Genomic DNA, 20,803 nt, shown 5'->3' on the forward strand with positions numbered 1-20,803 from the left:
GTGGCCTCCCCAGAAACTGAACAGGCACTGGCATCATGCTTGCACAGCCTGCTGAAACTGGAAGATATGAAATTAGCCGGGAATGACACATTTGTTCCTGTGCAAAGAATAGGTTCTGGACCTGAAGAGAAAGACAGTGTGCCCGATTTCATAATAATTAGGTGGAGATACAAGATTAATGTTGAATACAATAGTGGACAGCAAAGAAAAAGTTTCAGCATGCAGGGATTTTATATTAAGGGGAGAAGAGATATATAAAGAAATAAACAGAGCAAATTTGGACACAGAGACAGACATGCACAAAGGGAAGTGTGAAGACATGCTGGGAGAAGGTGACCATGTGACTGGAGTGTGCATCTACAAGCCAAGGACTGCCAGTCAATCACCAGAAGCTAGAAAACTCAAGGAAAGATTCTCTTTTAAAGCCTTCAAAGAGAGCATGACCCTGCCAATACCTTGATTTTTGACTTATAGTCTCCAGAGCTGTGAAAGAATAAATTTGTGTTGTTTTAAGCAAACAACAACAACAAAACAAACAAACAAAAAAAAACAAGTGTAAGTTTTGGTATGCTGTGTTTTCATTTTCATTCATCTTTAAATATTTTCTAATTTCCCTTGTGACGTTTTTCTTTGACCCACTGGCTGTTTAAGCGTGTGCTGTTTATTTTCACATGCTCGTGAATTTTCCAATTTTTCTTCTGCTATCGATTTCTGACTTCATCTTGCTATGGTTGGAGAAGATACTTTGTATGATACCAATCTTTTAAAATCTGTTGAGACTTGTTTTGTGGCCTAACAGGGTGTATCCTGGAGAAGGTTACTTGTGCCCTTGAGAAGAATGTGTATTGTATTGTTGAATGTAGTTTCTGTACATGTCTGTTGGGTCTAGTTGGCTTATTGTGTCTTTCAAGTCCCCTGTTTCCTTACTTATCTTCCGTCTGACTAATCTATCCATTATTGAAAATGTGGTATCGAAGTATCAATTTCCCCCTTCAATTCTATCAGTTTTGGCTTCGTATATTTCAAGAGTCCTTTATTAGGTTGATTTGTGTTGCTATAACAAAATACCTGAGACTGGTGATTTATAAACAGTAGAAATTAATTTTTTCACAGTTCTGGAGCCTGAGAAGCCCAAGATCAAGGTGCCAGCAAGTTTGGTTTTGTGGTGAGGGCTGCTCTTTGCTTCCAAGATGGCATCTTGTTGCTGTATCCTCCTGAGGGGCGAAATGCTGTGTGCTCACATGGCAGATGGTGGAAGGGCAAGAAAGTGGTACACTGCATGAAGAGAACATTTTTTATGGACTTTAATCACATTTGCAAGCGGAGGAGCCCTTATGACCTAATCACATTCCCCATTAATTTCAACACCTGAATTTTGGAGGGGATATATTCAAACCATACCAGTCTGTAAATCTTTATAATGGTTATATCTTCTTTCTGTATTGAGTCTTTTATTAATATATAATGTTCTTTTCTGTCTCTTGTGACCTTTTAGGGTTAAAGTCTATATTTTTCTAATATTAGTATAGCCACATCACCTCTCTTTTTGGTTACTATTTACATGGAATAATTTTTTCTATCCTTTCACTTTCAACCTACTTGTGTCTTTGAATCTAAAGTGAGTCTCATAGTTGGATCATGGTAGGTTTTTTAAAAATCCATTTTTCTCTCTTTTGATTGGAGGATTTAATTCATTTATATTTAAAGTAATTACTGATAAGAAGGGACTTACTTCTGCCATTTTGCTATTTGTTTTCCATATGACCTCTAGTTTTACATTCCTCATTTCCTCCATTACTGCCTTCTTTGTGTTTAGTTGATTTTTTTTGTAGTGAAACTTTTTGATTCCTGTGATGATTAGTTTTGAATGTCGACTTGACTGAATTAAGGAATACCTAGCAAACTAGCAAAGTATACTTTTTGATGTGTCTATAAAGCCATTTCCAGAGGATATTTGTGTGCAAGTTGGTGGAATGAGTGAAAAAGGTCCTCCCCAATGTGGGCAGGCACCATTCAAATGGCTTGGGGCCCAGATGAAACAAAAAGGCAGAAGAAGGGAGCATTCTAGCTCTCTGTCTTCTGGGCTATAATGCTCCTCTTTTCCTGCCTCTGGACATCAGAACTCTAGGCTTTCTGGCCTTAGGACCCCAGGACTTACACCAGCAGCCCTTTGAGTTCTCAGGGCTTTGCCCTAAGACCAAGAGTTACATCATCAGCCTTCCTGGTTCTGAGGCTTTCAGACTTGGACTGGGCCAATCTCTGGAATATCAAGGGAGCATATGGGACTTCCTCAGCCTCCATAATTGTATGAGCAAATTCCCCTAATAAATCTCCTCTCTTGTATATCTCCTGTTGGTTATGCCTCTCTGGAGAAACATGATGAATATGATTCCCTTGTCATTTTCTTTGGAAGGGACACATTCAAACCATAGCAGTCTGTAAATCTTTATAATTGTTATATCTTCTTGCTGTATTGAACCTCTTACTAATATATAATGCTCTCTGCCTCTTATAACCTTTTTGGGTTTAAAGTCTATTTTTACTTTAAAATGCATATTCTTTTTAATGAATTCAATCATTATTTTCTATTGTGTGAATTCAATAGATATTTTCTTTGTTCTCACTTCAGGGATTACATTGAATACACTAAAGTTGTAAAGTCTAATTTGAATTTATACCAACTTAAGTTCAGTAACATATAAAAACTTTGCTTTTATAGTGCCCAGTATTCTCTTTCTGTTATTAATGTCACAGATTAAGTCTTTATAAATTGTGTGCCCAATAATGTAGATTAATAATTCATTTTTATGCATTTGTCTTTCAATCACAGAGAAAATTTAAAATGTAGTTATGGACCAAAATTACAGTAATACTAACTTTTATAATAGTCTCTGTATTTACCTTTACTGGAGATCCTTATTTCTTCATGTGGCTTCTAGTTACTGTCTAGTTTTCTTTCATTTCACCCTGAAGGTACTCACTTAAGGATTTCTTGCAGGGAAGGTCTAGTGGTAACAAACTCATCTTTTGTTTATCTGAGAATATTGTAATTTCGCACTTATTTTTAAGAACAGTTTTGCTGAATATTGAATTCTTAGTTGACAGGTTTTTTTTCTTTAAGCACTTCGAATATATCAACTCACTGACTTCTGGCCTTCTAGATTGCTGATGAGAAATCAGCTGAAAACTTTTTTTTAGAGATGGGTTTTGTTATGTTGCCTAGGCTGTACTTGAACTCCTGGGCTCAAGTCATTTTCCTGCTTCAGCCTCTTGAATAGCTGGGACTACAGGTGCACACCACCATGCCTGGCTTGCTGAAATCTCATTGAGAGCCCTTCTATGTAATTAGTCACTTCTCTCTTGCTGCTTTTAAGATTCTCTCCTTGTCTTTTGATTATAATGTGCATCACTGTGCATCTCTTTGAGTCTACCCTACTTCTTAGTTTATCAAGCTTCTTGGATTTGTAAATTGATGTCTTTCATCAAATTTGGAGCATTATCAGGCATTAATTCTTCAAATATTATTTCTGCCCTTTCCTCTCTTTTCTCCTTCTGAGATTACCACAATATGTAAGTTGTTCTGTTTGATGATGCCCCACGGGATCTGTGGGGCTATGTTCACTTTTCCTTGTTTTTTTTCTTTCTGTTCATCACTCAGTAATCTCAATGGTTGTATCTTCAAGTTTGCTGGTTCTTTCTTCAGCTTGATCAAACCTGCTTTTGAACCCCTCTAATGTATTTTTTTTTCATTTCAGTGATTATATTTTTCAGCTCCAGAATTTCTTTTTGGCCCTCTTTTATACTTTCTACCTCTTCATTGATATTCTCATTTTATCTATGCATTGTTTTCCTGTCTTTGTTCATGTCTTCCTTCAGTTTTTTGAGCATCTTTAAGACAGTCATTTTAAAGTCTTTATCTAGGAAGTCCAATATTTGGGCTCCTTCAAATATGTTTTCCATTTATTTATTTTGCTCCTTTGAATGAGTCATACTTTCTATGTCTTGTTATTTTGTTGTTGTTGAGAGATGAACATTTGAATCTTATAACATGGTAACTCTGGAAATTGGGTTTTCTCCCTTCCTCAAAGTTTGTGTTGCTTTTGTTTTTTTGCATTTTGGTGGGATGTTTCTGTCTTGAGAATCAGTTTAAATAAAAACTTAAGGTCTTTTAGGTTTTATCTGATTCTACCTGTTTCCCTGGGAATGCACAATGGCTTTATAAATTTCTTCACATGCATGTTTTTGGTGTCCAAAACAACAGGTACTGCTTTTTTAAGTATCCTGGAATCTGTTCAATTTTTGGTGTCCAAAACAACAGGCACTGTTTTTTTAAGTCTCCTGGAAGCTGTTCAGTTAATGGGGTTTAAAACAATGACAAACAGCCCCCATGCCTGCCCCATCAGTGATCAGAAACAGCAATCCATAGTCAGAACACAGAACCCTAATATTTGGAGGACAAGGTCCTTATTGCCCACTCTAGCTCCAGTGAGCCATACAAGAAACATTGGTTGCTGTCCCTACAGCTGCCTGCTGCCAGCTGGGGATTTGAGATGGGTAGTCATAACTGTACTGATGGCTGAAATAAATAAAAAGTAGATAAAATTTGCCAGCCAAACTGTTCCCTGGAAGATGCAAACATTAAAATAAACTCCAGAGTTCCAAAATAGTCACTTCAGACTGTTTCTAACAGTATAATTGTTGTCTAGGTAGAGAGACAGATTCTTGCTGCTTCTTACTCCACCATTTTCCCTGTCATCACTCCTGACATATATTAAAAGGATCCCTCTGGCTGCTATATTGGATATGGACTGTATAGTAGCAAGGACAGAAGTATGTGTACCAATTAGAAAGTTACTGAATTAATCCAGGTGGGAGATCATGGTTACTTGTACCAGAGTGGTATCAGGGAGCTGGTGAGAAATTTCAAATTGTGAATATATTTGGAAGGTAAAGCCAATGGATTTCCTAACACATTGAATGTTGGGATAAAGAGAGTGAGAGAGATAAAGGAGATCAAGGTTGACATCAAAGTTTCTGACTAAAACAACTGGAGGGATGAAATTCCCATTAAGATTGAGGAAAAATCAGGAGTTTTGTTTTGGTATATAGTTTGAAATGCCTATGCAACATATATGTAAAAATTGAAATCTGAAGTTCAAGAGAGAAGTTTAATCCAGAAGTAGAAATTTGAAAATCATGGAATTTAAAACCATGAGACTAGATAACATCACCAAGAAAGTATGTATGAATGGAAAAGATGACAAAGGCTAGAACCCTGGGGCACTGCAACATTAAGAGGTAAGTAAAAGAGAAGGGATGAGCAGAATGAACCAAGAGTGACCAGTAAGATAGGAACACTATCAAGAAACTGTTATGTCTTTTTTTTTTTTTTTTTTCTGAGACAGAGTTTCACTCTTGTTGCCCAGGCTGCAGTGCAATGGCACGATCTTGGCTCACTGCAACCTCCGCCTCTGGGGTTCAAGTGATTCTCCTGACTCAGCCTCCTGTGTAGCTGGGATTACAGGCATGCATCACCACTCCTGGCTGATTTTGTATTTTTAGTAGAGATGGGGTTTCTCTATGTTGGTCAGGCTGGTCTCGAACACCCAACCTCAGGTGATCTGCCAACCTCGGCCTCCCAAAGTGCTGGCATTACAGGCGTGAGCCACTGTGCCCAGCCGAGAAACTGTTATGTCTTAAAGGAAAATGTAGAGATTACTTCCTGGAGGAGAGAGTGAGCAACCCTAAGAAATGCTTCTGACAAGTAAAATGAAAACTTGACTTTGACCATAGGATGTCACCATGCAGAGTTCATTGGTCATATTAACATGAGTAGTTTGGTTGAGTGACGGAAATGAAAACTCCACTGGAGTTGATCTAAAAGAGCATGGGAGGGGAGAAATTGAAGACAGTGGGTATAGACGATTCTTTTGAGAAAGTTTACTTGAATAGAGAGCAATAAATTAGGTAGTAAGTTGTAGGAAAGTGTGTCAAGAGTAGGAGTTTTAGAATGTGAGAAATAGTATCAATGTTCAGCAGTTGGAAATACTTCAGTAGAGACTAGAATCAATATTGTAGAGGAGATTGAAGGAAGAATTGCTACTGAGAAAAAGTTCATGAATAGAAGAGAGGGGATGGAAGTAGTGCACAGGTTGAAGTACTGGCTCCTGATAGGAACTTAGAAAGTTCATCCGTGTCAAAGAGAGGCAGGCAGAAGCCTTAGTGCAGATACTGGTGATGGTGGAGGTGCAGAGAATTTTCTTTCTGGTTGTTTGGATTTCCTCAGTGAAAGTGAGGTGAGAGCAAAGACAAGATTAAAGAGAAGACAGGTATGAAAGATTTACTTGGGAGAGTGAGTTGAATAAAGACTACTGTGCTATTGCCAGACAGGATTAGGGTTTATTTGCAGTTCACGTCACAAAATTAAAGTAAGACCATCAACATGGCCACATTGTTTTCTCCAGTTACACTCAGCTGCACTGAGAGTTGGATCTAACCAGGGTTGTGGGTTTTGTCAAATGAGGACAATGAAGCAAAAAAGGGATAAGGGAGTTAAGGATGTGTGCAAGGGGGTGAGTAACCATAAATTTAAGCTGGTTAAGTAGGGAAGAGAGGACATGAAGTAGATGATGGGCAGTGGCAGAGTAGCAGAATAATAGATAAGAGGTCCTAGAGTCAAAAGATTGTTGGAGTTAGTGCTAAAGAAATGAGCTGGAAAGATAGGAGGCATGGCCAGAAAGAGGAATGAATAAACAATTAGGAAGGAGTTACAGCTACTAAAAATGACAAGATAGGGCACAACCCGTGAGTACATGACTAAGGGAGGGTGAATTGCAAGCTCATTGGTAAGGGCAAGGTTCTGTTTTCTTTTCTTACTAGCACAGAGCTTGGAACATAGTAGGCACTCATTATATATCCGTTGAATGAATGAATAAGGAATGACTACCACCTCCCCAGCAGCTCTAATTGAATTCCTGGCTTCTCTATTCCACCCATTTGCTCTCAGTCCAGGATTGGAGAGGCAAAATGGTTTCAGGTCAATGCAAATTACCACGGGTGATCCTTGGTACAACTGTGAAACCTGTAAAGTTTTATTAGTGGCTCTTGCTTTTCTTTCCATGCATTTATAGCACTCTCCTGTGCAGAGCTTCTAGGGCCTGGGTGCTCCCACTCTCTCCTGTGCCCCTATTTCCTCCAATCCCCCAAACCTGCTCTGGAAAAGAATAATATTGCTCATTTACACTTCAGTGTATGTCTCTGTTTCCTCTCCTAGAGGGGATGTATGTTTACATCTCATTTCTGATTAAGGGAATATAAGGTTTGGTCCCCCGTGAAAACATTGCAGGTGTCAGGAAGGCAGGGCATGGTGTCTGGGGTCAGGAGAACTTGTGTTCCTGAAATCAGACCAAGAAAGCTGCTGCTTTTCCAGCCTCTGCCCTTTATGGTTCCTGAATTGGGAGTGCTGAGTCAGTGGAAGAGTCTCATAGGAGACCAGTTTGCTTCTCTTTTCTTTCCTCTGTACTCACGGCGGAGTTTGCAGTCCGGATTCTGCAATCCCAGTGTTCCCAGAACCAAGCTGGGTCTGGCTACGTTTTCTCAAGGCCCAATAATGAGAAGCAGACAAACTGGGAAAGAAGGGAATTTATTGCTGTAACCGGATTCAGGGAGAAGGCCAGAGATAATTCCACCAGACAAACCCAGAGTGTTACCATTTTCTTAGTGCTCATATAGTTGGTGTTATGTGCCTACATGCAGTATCGCATTCACTTAAGTCTATTGGTAACTAATTTTGTTTCAGCTATAAGGTCAGAGGCAAAAAATGCTTGCTAAGTCCAACGAAAAGGGCCCCAGTACCTTCAAGGCCTGTCTACTGTGGTACCGGAGTGATTATTTCTATGTTATCTCCTTTACAGCTTGGTCCAGAGAGCTACCTTAGGCTCTCCAATGAATCTATTCAAACACTGCCTCTGTTACCTTTACTCATCTAAAATTTTGTCAACCTGAGACGAAGTGCTGGCACTAGGAATGTAAGACTGTCTCTATTATTTTGTTTGCTCTAGGTTAGGGAGAAGACTATGCAAGGCTCCTACTGACCATGTTTCATTTCTAGCTTTGATGTCTAGGCATTATTTCCCTAGGCTTAACTATTTGCTCAATGTTAAGGCAGCTCTGTGGAAATTTGTCTGTGTAACTAGGGTGCTATGCAGGCCTGTCTGTGTGACGGTCATGCCTGCTTGTCTGTGTGGTTGTCAGGGAGAATTGACCTGCCACACTAGCATGTGTAAGGATCCTCATCAGGCAAGAAAAAGTGTGGGTGGCCAGTCCACACCTGTTACTGGGAGGCTGGCACTGTCACCTCATTCCAATAGCTCTCAAAAGACAAACCTCTGTGAGTTGGGCCAAGGTTCAACAACAATAATTCCTTTTTGTCCTTTAACTTCTGTTTTAATTAACTTTATTGAGGCATGATTTACATGCCATAAAATGCACATACTTCAAGTGTAAAGTTTAGTGACTTTTGTAACTAACACCCCAAACAAGATACAGAAAACTTTCATTTCCTTAGAAGTTTCCTTTGTGCTCCACTCTGGTAGAGTCCCCCTTACTCCCACCCCAGGACCCAATGGCTCTGTTTGCTGACCCTTTGAATGAGTTTTGCTTGTTCTAGAAGCCTGTATAAATGGGATCATACCGTATGTCCTGTCTGAAGTCTAGCTTCTTTTGCTCAGCATAATGGGTTCTGAGATTCATTCATGTGGCATATTTCATTTTACTGCAGACTAGTATTCCATTGCATAGATAGGACACAATTCATTCGCCTGTTCACGGTCATTTGTGTTGTTAATTTTCTCTAATTTTTAAATGATCAACACTTCTTGAGCTTCATTAACTACCAGGAACTTACGTAAGCCTGGGCACTCACAACTGGCAGGAAAAATGAAGTCAATAGATAGAACTTTTAAATGTTTCTCTCTGATACATTCCCTTCAGTCCAGTCTCTCCATCCCTTCCGCTGGTGGGCATAGGCAGATGACTGAGCAGATGTGTGGAAGGGACTCCAGAGAGGTCCCCAAGGCTCGGTTCACCTGTCTGCTGTGGATTGGTTGGTTGGTTTCGGACACATGGGTTTGTGCCGGTAATTTTTATATCATGCGTTAACTTGGTTGCCCCAGTTTTAAGCTGGAATTGGGTTGCTCAAGGGTTCTTCTTGGTGATCTGCCAGGCAGCCCACTGACTGAACTAATTTGGAACCCACCAGCTGATAGGAAATCAAGCTCCATGGAGACCATCAAGAGTGGTCACACTTGCCTGGAACTCCAGCCCCACCACTCCTGTGTGATAAAGCACTGGGAGCCACTTGACCATCACTTCAGAGAATATCAGAACTTGATGTAACTACATTGGGCATTGAGCCCTCCCCAAATGCACATTTAAATACTCCAATCCAATTATATGCATGCTGCTAGACAAATAAAGCCAGACCCTGCATTTCTTGGACAACTTGTCTCCAAATGCAACTTCACCTGGGAAGAAACTGCTGGATCTGTGTTCCTGGAGATAAAAGTGTCTGAGTAAGACTTCAGAAGAGACTGTACCATATTTCCTAAATTGTGTGTTTTGTATTTATAGAAGATTTAAAGGATTTTTAAGGGATTCATTGACAGTGCAGGAGTTTCGTATGACACGCTCTTTTGATATAAAATGCTATTCTGCATATAGAACTTTTGTTTACAAATGTACTTACTCATTTATTATTTTATTTGATCCACACATCCACTCTATGGGTAAACACGGCAACTCTGGGCATCCCATTTTGTAATGGGGATGCTGAAACACAGAGCTAATGAGAGGGCCAGGACTAGGGTAAGCAAATGAGGAGGGTCATTGTACGTGCAAAGTGGGATTCTGTCTTCCTTTAAAATGATGATATTTTGTTCATCGCAGAATTTTTGCATTAACTTTGATTTTTTAAATATATTGCACTAAAATATTATTTATCTTGATTATTGAATCTTTTGTACTCAAGGCTAGTGAATTATTTGCTTCATCCTAATCCCTGAGTCTCAGGCCCTGCAAGGTGAATGGATTAGCTTGAGTCATATAAAGTATCCATTTATTGCATATGAAAAACAGATAAATATCTGTCATTCCATATGATTCAACCTAATGGATCCTCCTAGGATGGAGTCAGGAGGCCACACTGCACATGAGTGCTTCAATTATACCACTCGGTGGTCCTAAGCCTGGTGCACATTAGAGCTCTTTCTGAAATTTTTATTAAAACCAGAGCCTCAGGTTTGGGATGGGAAACTGGCATTCCTCTACTGCAAACCTCTGGATTGGAACCCCTGGATTAAACCAGAATTAAATCAGTCTATAGATTGAGGCAGAGAGTCTGGATTCAAATTCTGGTGTAGCTCTTTATAACCACACAATTTAAGGCAAGTTGCAAGTTATGAGTGTTGAGCAATGTATGCAAATGTTTAGCACAGTGTCTGGCATTAACAGTAAATCCTGGATAGGAATTAATGCTTGCACAAGCCATTACTCTGTGTGGAAGTTCAGAGAAGTAAGTCAACCAAGGTCACACAGAAAGTTAATGAAAGAGTTGAATTTGGGACCCAAGTCTCTCTGGTCTCTAGCCAGAGGTGAAGTGACTACACTTGACATCCACTAAGTGCTTCCTTTAAGAACAGGGATCCTCAATAATTAGCCCATGACATTTTCTAATAAGTCCCCTCCCCACACCCATGAGAATCAAAGATGAGCTGACCAGGCAGAGGCAGAGGGAGAGCAGGGAGCTCTGCCAGGCTAAGTGAGCGGGTTCCTTTGCCTAGGGGACTGCCCTCCAGTGGGCAAATCCCCTGTGTCCTCAATTATCTGGTCCTGTCTACCCCCCAGACTCTAGCTGGAGCCATCACTTCCTCATTTCCAATTTTCCTCTTTAAATTTTTCTGTCCTGGCTTCTGCTGCTTGTCCTCTGGCGGAACCAGTGACTTCCTGAATGTTGAAATTGTGGGCGCCACGGGGGACCTCTGCTTTTCAGGGCACTGCTAGGAGCTCACTTTCCTGAGTTTCATCCCCTTTCACTTTCTGACATACCACGGGCCAAAGAAAGTGACTTCGCCTGGCACAGCTTCACTTCCTGCCACCTGTCTTCCTCACCTCTTACATTTCAAATAGGCCAAAAGTCTACGGCTCCCCTGCTCCAGGCTGTCCCACCTCTGAGAGGCTGCACCTGCCCTCCTTCCTCCCTGGAGGGCCTTTGCCTCATCTTGATCTGGATCAATCCCCCATTATCCTTTTAAGCCCAGCTCTGGTATCTGATATCTCTTGATTCAGATGATAAAGCTATTTGTCATATTTCTGCCCTGTCTCCCCTGCCTCCCGGCACTTCTGTCTTTTCAGGGACATCAACCTTTGCCGCACTTCACAGCAATTTTCTGGAATGTAGTTGTAGCCGCAACCATCTTGCATGGTAGACTGTGAATATCTTTCATGAAAAAAGGCCATTTCTTCATCTCCTCGGTGCCCAGCAGGCTCACAATGTCTCTAATGATAATAACAACAACATGACCATAGTGTTTATTACCTAATACTTCCATCCTAGCCACCTTATATGATTTAATTCATTTAAGGCTCACGAAATTCATATCTTCCTTATTTATACAAACAGAAGAGTGAGATGCTCAAAGCTCAAGTGATTTGCCTACTGCCAGACAGCCCCTATGTGGAAGAGGTGGAATTTGAAGCCAGGCATTCTAGCTCTTAGTGTCTGTGTCTTAACCACCATGCTATACAGCATCCCTGGTAGAGATGCCTGACGGGAGGGAGAGAGGGGAGAAGCTACTTTCCTTAAGGAGCTCAGATCTCACTGGGGCCTGGACAAGGACACCTGTAACACATGTACACATGTGCACACATGTGTACACACACAGAGAGAGAACATGGGAAAACTACAAGAAGAAATACTAAGTGCTAAAATGTGTGGTTCAGAGCAAGGCTTCTCAAACTGTAATGTGTATATAAATCACCTGGGGATCTAGTTAAACTGTAGATTTGGATTTGATCTGATGGGGTGGGACCAGAGACTCATTGTTAGAACAAGTGAACTTGCATTTCTAACAAGTTCTCAGGTGATACTAATACTGCTGGTCCATGGACCACACTTTGAGCAGCAAGGATGAACTCTAAAGGTTGAGGCAGGTCAGAGAAGGGAGATTTCACTGTGGGCTGGAGAGGTCCTGGGACAGAGAGCTGAGTCTGGGCCCATGGCAGGGCTTGGTTGGCCCTCTCTGGAGCCATCCAGCTTTTGGGTCTCAGGGACCTGGGAGTGACGGGTGCATTCAGAGGCCCGTAACTTGTGTCCCAAAGCCTCCTCGATCCCCCTTAACAAGCAGCAGCACTGTGTGGGAGATCCACATGTGAATAGCCCGTGTTTGAGAAATGTCCAATCCTGATCATGTCAGGAAACATCCTGCAAATTCTGAAATCAGAGCCAAAGGGAAGTGCTGCGAGGTTTACAACCAGCTGCAGTGGTTCGATGGGAAGGATCTTTCTCCAAGTGGTTCCTCTTGAGGGGAGCATTTCTGCTGGCTCCAGGACTTTGGCCATCTATAAAGCTTGGCAATGAGAAATAAGAAAATTCTCAAGGAGGACGAGCTCTTGAGTGAGACCCAACAAGCTGCTTTTCACCAAATTGCAATGGAGCCTTTCGAAATCAATGGTAAAGTACGATTCCCCAATAATGGAAATGACCAGAAATGTAGTCTTTCTGCTAGCGAGATACGAAAATAGACAAGTCAATAGAAAGTCTAGGTTTGGCTTATTGCTGCATTTTGCACGTAATCATCACTAATACTGTCTGGAGTGCTTCAATTTGGAATTTCTGGAATGCTAATAATAGATGCTGTATTTTTAGCATATAGTCAGGTTTTTCTTAGCTTCACTATTGTTTTAATCATATTTAAATATTTTCCCTTGAAAAAATGCCAATGCTTATTAAATGTCCCCTTTTTTTAATGAATGTCTTATTCTGACACACAGGTTGGGTGATACAATGAAAACGCAAAACAGGGGCACTGAAAGGGGACCACAAAACTGAAGCCAAGCATGACAGTTTTCAAAACACAGCTTCTTTAAAATTCTTTAAGGGGATTTCTGTTATAACTGATGTGCTGGTCAGGAAACATATTCTGTATTTCATGTTGACTGAAATATGTTCATAGCTTCATAATTAGTTTGTCTTAGGTTAAACTCAGGTCTGTAATATTCAGTCAACTCTGTTGTCTTTATTTTCTCACTCAGCATTCAACAGGTGATGCATTTTTAAAATCTTCTAGAATTTGTAGCATTTGAAGTCATGGGTGGGCTTGCATTCCACAAATGAGCTCTGATTTCCTAGTCTAGAACGTTCTCTTGGGATCATCTTCCAAGTTGATCAGTCATTTCCACTCCCAGGCTTTGCTGGAAGTTGTCTATGCAGGAAAATTGGTGGCTTTATCTCCTGGCCAGAGTGTCCTTCTCATCCCACACCTGTCTGCCCAGGTCCCTGCCTGGAATTTTCAGCGCACAAAGATGAAGCGTCTGGGGCTCTGCCTCTAGGAATTTACAGTGTAATAACAGAGAAAGGTGTGAGTGCTAATGGCTATAATAATCATTGGCTATTTAGAACTTCTCAGAATGCAACATTCTGGATACATGACTGTTTAAGAGACTGAAGATGTTCAAGCAAAGTCAGCTGATCAAGCATACTCAGCACCTATTTCCAGCAGGGCACTGCACTCAGCACTGAGGAAACAGGCTTGAATAAACATAGCCTCTGGCCTCTGGCTTCTGGCACGAGGGGACAGGGGACAGGGTAAGCTGCCCATGAACTGACAATTTCCATGTTGTGACTGAGACTTCCACAGGACATGATGGACAGATCTAACCAGGTGTAGAGCCCTGGAGGGCAGAGCTGACACCTCTTCCAAAGTTTAAAGGATAAAGGGAGTCCGTTAGAGAAAGAAGTTAGTGCCTGGGGCGGGGTGGGCGCCACATGTTTGTATTGTATTCACAAGAAATATTCAGAGAAATATAAATACTTCCATACTGTTTGGCCAAAATTGGGACGGAAAGACCAGTGGGGACTGAGGCTGGAACCAAAAAATTTGACTTCATCCTGAGGTCAGTGGGGAAGCAGGAAGGGGCCGATGTGGGGCTGAAAGGCACTAATGTGCATGTGAGGTTGCTCTTTGTCCTACATAGGGATGGCTGGAGAGAGAAGCTGAGGACAGAGAGGAACTTGGCAGCAAGAGATGATGAGGGGCAGTGGATGGAAGGCAGGAAAATAAAGGAATGCTCTGGAGAAACACCGGAAATCAGATCAATTGGACTGCAATGGCAGGACAGGGCTGGGGAGGAAGACGCAGGAGTTAATAGTGAACCCTAGATTTCTGACCTGGGTTGTGTGTGTCACCAATTAAAAATGTAACTAAGCCAGTGCAGGAGGATTCCTTGAGCCCAGGAATTTGAGACCAACCTGGGCAACATAGTGAGACCCTATCTCCACCAATAAATAAATAAATAAAATGTTTAAAGTATCTCACCAAAAAACCAAAACTACTCCAATTTGGATGAAAGAAACATTTTCTTATATGCATTCACAACATCCTGCCTTCTAATACAAAGATTGTGGAACATATGAAACTTTCTAGAAGAGTGCCATTATGCAGGTAATCACTGTGAGGCTCTGGTAACACAGTGACCCCTCAGGGCCGGCTCTGCACATTACTTATTTTTTGTCTGCTGAAGATTTATTTATTTAGGCCATATATAGTTTTATTTTCTTTTGAAAATACATTATCTTAAAATTCCCACATATGGTTCATGAAAAACAGCACTGAAAAATATTTCTAATGTCATTTTCCTCATTTATTTTTCTCTATTGTTGGTATTGAAATATAAAATGCTGTTTTTCCCTGATTATAAAGTATTAAACTAGTTTTTTTTTATTATTATTACCCAAGGATACTGGACTAGGAAAGTTTTCAACACATGCTGAAGAAAATTTTAGAAGTGAGTTTGGGAAACTTTTGGAATATAACCTTCATTTTTTCTAAAATTAATCTTAAAAAAAGGATGAGGAGTGTAAATTTCACACTGTACCCTCTAGAAGCACAGTGCAACTTGCATCCCTCTTTCCTGCCATCACCTCCAGCCTCCCTCATTAGAACAAGCCTCCTTCATTCCATTATCTGCACTAGAATTAAGGTACTCTTTCTTTTCTTTATTTTTTATTCTAGCTTTTTAGGAGTGTGATTAACAATACAAACTGTATATATTTATGATGTACACGTGATGATTTGATATATGTATCCATGGATGAATAACCACCACAAAGACTGCTTTAGTTTCCTGAGGGGACTTGACATAGGGTTGGCTTCTGTGGCCCTCAGGGTCTCACAGAATCCCAGGTCTCTCCTCAGAGCCATAGAAACTGCTCTTTTGCCCCATCATCCACCTCAACAATGGAACATTTGGGCTTGAACGAGAGGATTTACCTGTTGGCAATATCTTTCTGGGATGTGTCTGTTTCTACCTTTTTGAAAATTAGCAATCTGTGTCTGGCTTTAGGCTTCCTGTCACACTCCTGGCCGTCTGGTTTCTCAAGGAAGACTACTGTTACCACAGCCTAACAAGACAAGCACTTGTTAGGCTGTGCAATGTGATCTGTCGGAACCTCTTGTTTCTTTTTTTTTTTTTTTTTTTCTTTTTTGAGATGGAGTCTCGCTCTGTCACCCATGCTGGAGTGCAGGGGAGCGATCTCGGCTCAGTGCAACCTCCATCTCCCGGGTTCAAGTGATTCTCCTGACTCAGTCTCCCTAGTAGCTGGGATTACAGGTGCCCACCACCATGCCCGGCTAACTTTTATATTTTTAGTAGAGACGGGGTTTCACCATGTTGGCCAAGCTGGTGTCCAACTCCTGACCTCAAGTGATCCGCCCCCCTTGGCCTCCCAAAGTGCTGGAATTACAGGCATGAGCCACCTACCTGGCCCTGTTGGGACCTCTTACTCCAATCTCTCAACTACTTCAGGCTTCCCACCAACTTCAGTCTGAAGAACATTCTTCTTGAGAGAGAAGTTTGAAACAAAATACAGGTAGAAAAGTTAGGGTTTTTATTGTTGTTTGTTTTAATTAACACTAACTATTGTCTCTCAGTAGTGAGCCTAACCATCCTTTCTTCCCACCCTTAACATACTCTAGAGCAACCTTCAACAAAACCCAAACCCTCAAGTCCGTTCAGGCTCAGTCTTGCAACACGACTGCTATTATTTCATGTCATTGTTCTGACTTTGCTCTTCATCATGCCAATATTTCTCAACATCTTTTAAACATCTGGCTTTATTGCAGAGTTTAGTCTTAACTTTTTATGGTGAAGTAGTTATAGAGTCAGAGAAAATTGCAAAAAATGTACAGAGAAGCTTTTCTGACTCTTGTCTCATTCTCCCCCAGTGGTAACATCTTACACTGCATTAATACAAAATTACAACCAGGAAACTGATATTGGTGCAATCCATAGAGCTTATTCATTAGTTTTACATGCACTCGTCTCTGTGTACATATATAGTTGTACCAATTCTATGCTTAAATAACCCCACATACCCCTCACTCCCCCACCAGCAGTCATCAACCCCTGGCAACCACTAATCTGCTTCCCATCTCTATAATTTTGCCATTTTGGGAATGTTACATAAAGAAATTACACAGTATGTGACTTCTTTAAGATTGATTTTTTTTTCACATAGTGTAATTCCTTTGAAACCCATCCAAGTTGTATCCATCCATAGTTGGCTCTTCTTATTGAGTAGCATTCCATGATATGAATATATCAAAGATTGTTTAACATTCACCCACTGAAGGACATTTGGGTTGTTTTCAGTTTGGGGGCTATTACAAATAAAGTTGCCATGACCATTTCTGTAAGTGTTTTGTGTGACTTTAAGTTCTCATTTCTCCAAGGTAAATGTCCAAAAGTGTAATTGCTGGATTCTAAGTGTGTTTGGTTTTACAAGAAGTAGTCGATATATTTTCCAGTGTGACTATACCATTTTACATTCCCAGCAGCAATGTACAACTGATCCAGTTTTCTGCAACCTCGTCAACATTTGACATTATCACTATTTTTAAATGTAGCCATTCTCGTAGATGTATACTGATATTTCATTGTAGATTTAATTTACATTTTCCTAATGGCCAGTAATGTTGACTATCTTCTCATGTGCTTAAATACCATATGTATAGCCTCTTCAGTGAAATGTCTCTTTGTGTCTTTTGCCCATGTTTTAATTGGATCTTTTATTTTTTATGGTTTGGTTTTAAGAGTTCTTTATATATTCTATATATAAGTCCTTTGCTAGATATGTGGTTTGCACATATTTTCTCCGAGTCTGTAACTTGCATTGTTATGTTCATATCAGCATCTTTTACAATGCAAAAGTTTTTAATTCTGACAAGGTCCAACCTAACAATTTTTCCATGTATGTATTATGCTTTCGGTGTCAAGTCTAAGAGTTCTTTAGCCCTTGTTGGTGAAGATTTTCTTCTCTATCTTATTCTAAAATTTTTGTAGTTTTACATTATTTTTATTTTTATATGTTAGAGACAAGATCTCACTATGTTGCCCAAGTTGGAGTGTGCAGTGGCTATTCACAGGTGTGATCATAGTGCATTGCAGCCTCAAACTCATGGGCTCATGTGATCTTCCCACTTCAGCCTCCCAAGTAGCTGGGACTAGAGGCTCATACCACCATGCCTGCCCGTGATCCATTTTGAATTGATTCTCGTATAACGTATAATGTGTAGGCCAAGGTTTTCATATGTTTCATTTTGTTGACCATGGATACATAGTCATTCCAGCACCATTTGTTGAAAGGCTATCCTTTCCCTGTTGAATTGCTTTTACACCTTTGTCAAAAACAACTTGGGTAAATTTGTGTGCATCTCATTCTGCATTCTTTATTCTATTCCAGTGATCTATGTGACTATCCCTCTACCAATACCACAGTGCTTTGATTACTATAGTTATATTGTAAGCGTTATTATCAAATAGAGTTATTCCTCAAATTTTAGTCTTCTTTTCAAAACTGCTTTAGCTATTCTAGGGTTTTTGCCTTTCCATATAAATTTAAGTGTCAGCTTGTCTACGGTTACAAAAAGATCTTGCTGAAATTTTGATAGGCATTGTGTTACACCTATAGATAAATGTAGAGAGAATTGATATCTTTATTATTGCAGACTTACAATCCATGCACATCTCTCCATTTACTTAGGTCTTTGGTTCTTTTAACTAAATTTTTAAAAAAATTTCAGCATACAGATCCTGTACATGTTTTATTAGATTTATATCTAAATATTCCATTTTCTTTGGTGTTAGAAATACCAAAATTGTTAGAAATAGATAATTGGTGCCAGGAAGAAAAGTTAGCACAGAGACAAAAGATCTCTCAGCAAGGCCATCTTTACTTTCTGCAGAAAGGGTGCTCAATTACAGATGGAACAATGGCAAGACCACACCTGAACAAAAGAAAAGCAGACATATTTATCCCTTACACATTTGGTTCATCCTTACTGCTGTGTCCTGCATCTATTGGCTGGAGCAGGACCTCACAATCTTAAACTGATACCCGATTTGCTAATAGCCTACAACTTTCCTAATAGTTAAGTACAGGGAAGAACAAAGAAATTGCTTACAAAAGGTTTAAGGAAGCAATAACATTTCCAAATAAGGAAGGAGCATAGGGTGTGAGCTGGAACGTGCCTGTGAGCATGTTCAGCAGTTACATAGGCTAGGGCTTAACAAAGAGTTATTAACGCAAAGCAAGAGGCTTGAAGAAAGTTATTCCTCAAAAGAAACCATCATTTCCAACACTCACAATTTATTCTTCAACAAGAAGGAAAACTTTGAAGAGGAAATTTTTACTTTCTACAATCCCTCCTCTTTTACTTTTTAGTTTTCCTCTTCAAACTTGCTTAACATGTCTTGGCTTAGTTGTTTTGATTAACTCTTGGATGTATGGTACAACATAATACTTAAGAAGAAGGAGTATACTTATTATAGTTGTTGAAGAGGTAAGAATTGAAGCTATGTTTGTTTGTTTGTTTGTTTGTTTCTTGTTGATGAAATACTAGAGTAAAAGGGATAGGCAATTGAACTAGAGCAAAAGTATTGCTCCAATTATTTGGCAGAGTGTCCAGTAATGGTCCTCCATAATACCACCATACATCCGCTAAGGGCAGGTGTATGAATAAGGGTGGACTGATGGGTCAGCTCTTGGAAGTGACTGACTTCACTGCATCCTGTTAAGTCTCCAAGGAATGCCAGATTTTTCCCCTTGTCATTGGATATATGAGGTAAAATTGGTTTTGGAAGATGGAGGCTGGATGGCCCTCGCAGGCTGATCCGCAGGGTGTTGAACTTCAGGAAATAGCAGAAAAAGAGCTTGGCACAATTCTTTATTCCAGGGGGTGGAATCTTGAAAAAGAGCTACCATGCACTCCATGTCCCCTTGATTTGAGGACCATGCTAGTGGAAAGGCAACAACGTGGGCCTCTGGCCTACCTTGCACACAAGAGTAGCAGTCACTTTTGTTTAAAGTGCAAACAGAATATTTAATCTATTTTAACCAGGCATTTACATCTTTATACCCTGTTTCAATGGCTATGGTTTGCCATAGGTCTCCTATTTCTACTACTGAGACCTTGCTTTTGTCATTTGGCATGAGGCGAGTCATAGTTTGATTTTGTAGGTTTGGGAAAGGTGCAGTTGTAGGAGGTAGAGGAGGGAGAACAAAGTGCACCTTAAAGAAGCCTATAGGATCCTTTCCAGTGACTTCTGCTCCTAAACCACAGAAGTGCCCTACAGTGGGGTTAGAGTTGCTGGTGGTAGGAATAGTAATGGATTTAAGCACTGGGTTAGGAAAGGAAAGGAAAAAGATAGACTAAGCTTTCCTTAGCTTTAATTTGGTAGGGCTTGACCCAGGAACAATGGCCCATGATTCTGAGGATAATGGCACTTGCTTGACTCAGGTGTCATGTGTCCATCCCTTTCCGCTGTACGAACAGCAGTCTCGATGGTTAGCAGCACAAGGTACGGTCCTTCCAAGGCTGGCCCGAGTTTCCCTTCTTTCTATCCTTTGATGAGAATGTGATCCCCAGGCTGATGCTGATGTACTGGAAACTCCAAGGGCGGCATCTGTGCTAAAAGACCTTTTGTTTCAAGGGAAGAGAAGGTGGAGGATAAACCAAGTATATAATTTCTAAGAAATTGATCTTTTGTTTTAAACGTGGGTACATCAACAGTGGACTTTATAGTCCTTTGTGCCTTCTTGCTGATAAATTTTCTTTAGCACCGATTTTTATTAGTTTTTAGACCAAAGAAAGCCAAACACCATTTTATATTTGACAGTGCTTCGTATATGATTTTATACTAGAAAAGCTAAATTTTACCTTTATATGAGTGTGTCATTAATGTTAAATTTAATTTTAATAAAACCTTGTTGACATATGTATCCAATTTTAATGTCTGACCATAAGGTAAGATTTTTATAGACTGTTTTTAACCTTTTATAATTTTTTGTTAAAGAGCAGGTTAGTGTTTTAAGAAAAACCTGTTGTTCTTTTATTTTAATATCCAGTTCACAGAAAAACTGGATGACACCCCTTTAACTTTAGCCAATATGTTTACACACAGAATTTCCTTTACAATTAAAGTTTCAAAACTTGCTTAAACCTTCAAAACAAAATTTTTTTAACCTTTT

General features: G+C 40.1%; 1 protein-coding gene across 4 annotated transcripts in view; it reads left to right on the forward strand.

Annotated features, from left to right (window-relative positions):
- Positions 1 to 12,523: 12,523 nt before the first annotated feature.
- Positions 12,524 to 20,803, forward strand: part of MARCO (macrophage receptor with collagenous structure) — a 52,467-nt gene continuing 44,187 nt past the window's right edge. For all 4 annotated transcript variants that reach the window (NM_006770.4, XM_011512082.3, XM_011512083.4 and 1 more), the window contains exon 1: positions 12,524 to 12,727. In NM_006770.4, the coding sequence (NP_006761.1) occupies positions 12,631 to 12,727 (97 nt within the window). In that variant the 5' untranslated portion in view covers positions 12,524 to 12,630. The remainder of the gene's footprint in view (positions 12,728 to 20,803) is intronic.

The sequence above is a fragment of the Homo sapiens genome, chromosome 2, assembly GCF_000001405.40.
Source record: "Homo sapiens chromosome 2, GRCh38.p14 Primary Assembly".
NCBI classification, from domain to species: domain Eukaryota; kingdom Metazoa; phylum Chordata; class Mammalia; order Primates; family Hominidae; genus Homo; species Homo sapiens.